The sequence below is a fragment of the Homo sapiens genome, chromosome 13 (genome assembly GCF_000001405.40).
Source record: "Homo sapiens chromosome 13, GRCh38.p14 Primary Assembly".
NCBI lineage: Eukaryota > Metazoa > Chordata > Mammalia > Primates > Hominidae > Homo > Homo sapiens.
In genome coordinates, this window is record NC_000013.11 from 88,974,287 (window position 1) to 88,979,582 (window position 5,296).

General features: G+C 34.5%; 1 pseudogene; it reads right to left on the reverse strand.

The window, feature by feature from the left end:
* GRPEL2P1 (GRPEL2 pseudogene 1) lies at positions 4,064-4,510 on the reverse strand (annotated as a pseudogene).

Consider the following 5,296-nt stretch of genomic DNA (forward strand, 5'->3'; position numbering starts at 1 on the left):
TTACACAGAAAAATAAAACTAGATTCCTATCTTTCACCATATACAAAAATTAAATGAAAAAGGATTAGAAACTTAAATTTGAGTTCTGAAACAATGAAACTACTACAAGAAAACTTTGGGGAAACTCTCCGGGACATTGTTCTGGGCAAAGATTTCTTGAATAATCTCCCTCAAGTACAGGCAACCAAAGCAAAAAGGGATGAACAGAATCACATCAACTTAAAAATCCTGTGCACAGTAAATGAAACAATCCACACACTAAAGAGACATCCCACAGAATGGGAGAAAATATCTACAAACTCTCCATCAGGAGAGGGAATAATAATCAAATATATAGAGCTTAAACAATTCAACAGAAAAAAAATAATAATTCTATTAAAATATTGACGTAAGATCTGAATAGTCATTTCTCAAAAGAAGATATGTAAGTGGCAAAGAAGCATATGAAAAAGTGCTCAATATCATTGATCATGAGAGAAATGCAAATCAAAACTACAAAGAGATATCCCCTCACCCCAGTTAAAATGGCTTTTATCCAAAAGACAGGTGATAACAAATGTTGGCAAGAATGTGGAGAAAAGTGGACCCTCATACACTGTTGGTGGGAACGTACATTAGTATAACTACTACAGAGAACAGTATGGAGGTTCCTCAAAAAACTAAAAATAGAAATATCATATGAGCCAGCAATCCCACTGCTAGATATATACCCCAAAAAAAGGAAATCAGTATATTAAAGAGCTCTGTACTCCCATGTTATTGCAGAACTGTTCACAATAGCCAAGATTTGGAAGCAACCTAAGTGTCAATAGGAAGGTGAATGCATAAAGAACATGTAGCACATACACACAATGGAGTATAGAATAGTAATTTAGACATAAAAAACAATGAGATCCTGTCATTTACAACAACGTGGATGGAACTGGAGAACATTATGTTAAATGAAATAAGCCAGACATAGAAAGACAAACTTTCCGTGTTCTTATTCATCTGTGGGGACTGAAAATTAAAACAATTGAATTGTGTATATGAATGAGAAGGTTGTATATACGTTGTAATAATGTGTGGGTGTGGGGTGTGTGTGTATCCTTCTCATATATATATATAAAATCTTCCTTATAGAGTTGTTGAGAATTTTGGAACTATGTCTTATGTATTTTATGCAATTAATGGCAACAATAATGATAATAAAGTACTAAACTTTAAACATTTTCTCAAGGCATCTTAACAAATAATATATTTCAGTGTGGTTTAACAGCTGTATTGTAGTGCATTATGTGAGTGTATAAAATATTTAACAATCTCTAACTGATGGACACCTTGGTTATGTCCCAATTTTTATTATTATATGCAAAGCTGTCTTAAATATTACACTACATAAGTCTGAATAATTTTGTCTGCATTTTAGTTACTTTTTTTAAGTTGAAGTTTCTGCATCAATAAAATAAAATTTGAAAATTTGAAAAATATTGCCATATTTTCTTTGGAACATTTGGTCCAAAGAATCCAATCCATATTTGTATATGCTGTGTTTTATTTTATTTTTTTTATTATTTTATTTTTTTAGAGATGGAGTCTCACTCTGTCCCCCAGGCTGAAGCTATATTTCAATAAAGCTGCCAAATAATGTCAATGAGTTCTCTCACGCTTGTGCCACAGAGTAAGAGTACATACACTTAGTATTGATGGTATTATTTTGTGATTGTTTGGTGAAGTGCTTTTCAATTTATTTTTATTTATTTTATTTTATTTTCGAGACTGAGTCTCGCTCTGCCACCCAGACTGGAGTGCAGTGGCATGATCTCGGATCACTGGAACCTCTGCCTCCCAGGTTCAAGCGATTCTCGTGCCTCAGCCTCCCGAGTATCTGGGATTACAGACATGGGCCACCACGCCTGGTTAATTTTTTTGTGTGTATTTTTTGTGGAGACAGGGTTTCTCCATATTGGCCAGGCTGGTCTTGAACTCCTGACAAGTGATCCACCCACCTTGGCATCCCAAAGTGCTGGGATTACAGGCGTGAGCCACCGCACCTGCCCTCAATGTATTTTTGTTATTTATCTATGTACATTTTTTGCTTCCTTTTGTTCCACATTTCTATATGTAAAAATGGAGCTTTAAATTCATTTACATTTTTGACATAAATTTTATGAAGTTTTAATGTGTGAAAGGAAATTAAATCTTGGGGCCCCACACTTATTTAGCCAAAAGGAAAAGTCAAGCTGGGAAGTGTGTCATGCAAACCTACCTCCCCCTTTTTGGTTCGTAAATAAGGTGGCTACAAATGAAAAGCAACACGCCTCCCTCACATTTTGCTCCCAAGGAAATTCCCAGTGAGCTGTTGCAATTTCACTATGGCAATGCAGATTGATAACTTATATTTACAAGTCCAGGCCCTCCCTCCCCGCAACACCAGACAAAAATGCATATCTGATTGTTCTCCTGTCCCGTTCTGTCTGTGTTATCTTATGTAAAATGTAGATTCCTCTCATTTTTTTTCTGCCACTTTTCTTTATGTCATCTTATGTAAAAAATGCAGATTCACTGAGCCAGACAAAAGCATGAGTGACTATTTTTCTCTACCTCCTTCTTACATGAAAATTGTGTACTTCTCAATATTGCACCCTTTCCCCTTTAAATTTGGAGCCCTCAAAATCATCTTGGGAGAAAGGCATAGATCTGTCTCCCAGCCGTGTCCTCAACTTTGGCAAATAAATCTTCTAAAAGGATTGAGACTTGTCATTTTTCTCAACTGACAAATGTAAAGATTATTAAAGTGTTAATATCAATTATTCAAGAGGGATTATTTATATCCATAGGCACACTTTAAAGAGTAATTAATAAAGTGAATGTTCATAAACACTATTTACCAATTCGCAAGTATAACATTACTATTATCTTTAAGTACCTATATATATGTCCCTCTCAGTTGTATCAAAATCACTCATTTCATCCCTAGAGGTAACCTATATGGTATTTTTGTATATTTATTTCTGCACTATGCTTTATCAATTTACCATATATATAAGCTCTTGTGCATTAACTAGTTTAATAATTTGCTTGATTTTGAAATTTATATAAATGTAAACATCTTATTTACATTAGTTCATGACTTGCTTATTTTTGTCAACATTATGTTTTATAGATTTATTCAACTTGGGTTGTAAAAGTGTTACTTATTAATTTCATTGTAATATTGTATATCACCACTTGATTATAACACATATTATGAATCCAAATAATATTTCATCAACAATTTTTTGCTTTTTTTCTGTTATTATGAGATATGAGATATGAATATTCATATACACATTTCATATGGCACATACCTCAGAGATCATTTAGGATATGTACCAATCGGTAGAATTTTATTATCATATGCATGTGTATTTTTGACCTTATTGAATAATGCGGACTTTTAACAAAATAGTACGTTAACTACATTATCTCCTACTTCTTGCTATATCACAGTTTTAACTTTTTCCCAAACTATGGGTATAAAAATGGTAATTTATTGTGGGAATGTGTAATTAACATTTTTTGAGACGCATTGTATAGTTATCAAAAAGTACAAAGTGAAAAGCATACAGCTAAATTAATTCTAACAAATGAAACACATCTGGGAAACCGACAACAATATTAATAACATGATAACAAACTTAAAAAGTTTCCTCCTATCTGCCTTTGCTTAGCATATGTTGGCTTGGAATCTCGACTAACATAGTTTCTGACACAGTATATTAATATTGCTTATATATTTTAACTTTATATCAATGAAGTACTACATATTTATACTCTTTTATATCTACCTTATTTCATTCAATGTTTTGCTTGTGATAGAGCTACATAATTTAACAACTCTGCTTTTTTTTTTCTCCTTCTGTTTTTTCCTCTCCTTTATTTTTCTCTTTCTGTTCAGAAGTTCTGTGTGGCCTTTGTGACATTTAAAAATTGTTTTTCCTCTATAAAATAGTGTATATCCCTAATAATGACTAGTCAGTAATTACCCCAGAAGGCACGTGTTTCTTTTTAACTTTTTGCTACCTTATTTGATAAGGTAGTAAAAAGTGACAACCCTTGGAAGACCTTCTCCAGAGTGAGCTTCTGGTCCACAGGGTCTGATTCTTCAGAAATGCACTCTGTAGTCTTCTCCAAAATGTGGACACCTCCACCAAGATCTTACAGAAACTCTGGATTCTAAATATCTTGGAGTTTTCCACACATCTCTGGGTTCCCCTCCTTATGTTTTCACAGTCAGCTACAGCTCTCTGGTATCTCATCGTTAAATCCTGGACTTCCTTCTCCAGTTTAACAGCTTTCACCCTTAAGGCCCATTCAGCAAGAGAGCACCCAAGCTCATCAGGGGGGTCCTCAGAACTGCAGTCCTCACCAGTAGTTCTCTGCATGGCAGTGCTGAATAGAAGTAGCCATCCCTTGCCCTCCCACTCAGCACTCGAGGCCAGTAGGGGCTGCATCTGCCACAGCAACTGCACGGCCAAGTTCAAAATTTTTACCACCTTATTTGATAGGTACATTCTCTTATGCAATAGATACATCCAAATGCTTAAGCTGGAAGTACCTGACCATCACAGAGAGCTTTCACCTGCCTCATTAATCCATTATTCTAAATGGTTTATTCTTGTGTCTTTTCACAGATTTTCAACTGCTGTGCCATCTCTTCTAAATCTGGAGTGGATTTTTTGTTGTTTGTTTTTATGTTTTTGTTCAATTGGCTATTTCTGAGATGAATGACAAATTTCCTTGATTCCATTGTATATCAATTTATACTATAATATCTATAATAAAATGTTGACAATGATAAATTAAAGAGTCTTGCAGCACTGGGTAGGTATCTTAACCTTTAGTTGCAGAAGCTGCTGACTGATTTAATGGCCTTTTAAATTATAATTGTACACTGTCCTTGAAATGAGTGCCAACCTATTTCTCATATAGTGCTTCACTCCTATTGCTCCTCTTAGAATTCTACTCTGGAAGAGATGCTTTGTGATCACATTTGCTCATTGGTCCCTTTAATCTTTATGTAGCATCTGATTGAGATAATTCAGTGCTTGCCCCATGGTAAGTCTTAAGTCTTCTATACGCTCATTACAATCTCACATAAATACTCCAATAATTCTACAATGCCTACAATGATAAATGTCCATGGTAGTCCAGAAATTATGAAGTAGATGGATCTAAGGGTCCAATGTTAACAAAAACTCCCAGGACGAAAATCTATTAAGTTCAAAATTGCAGTGCACACTAGGAAACAACATAGGAGAATGCTAGACACACC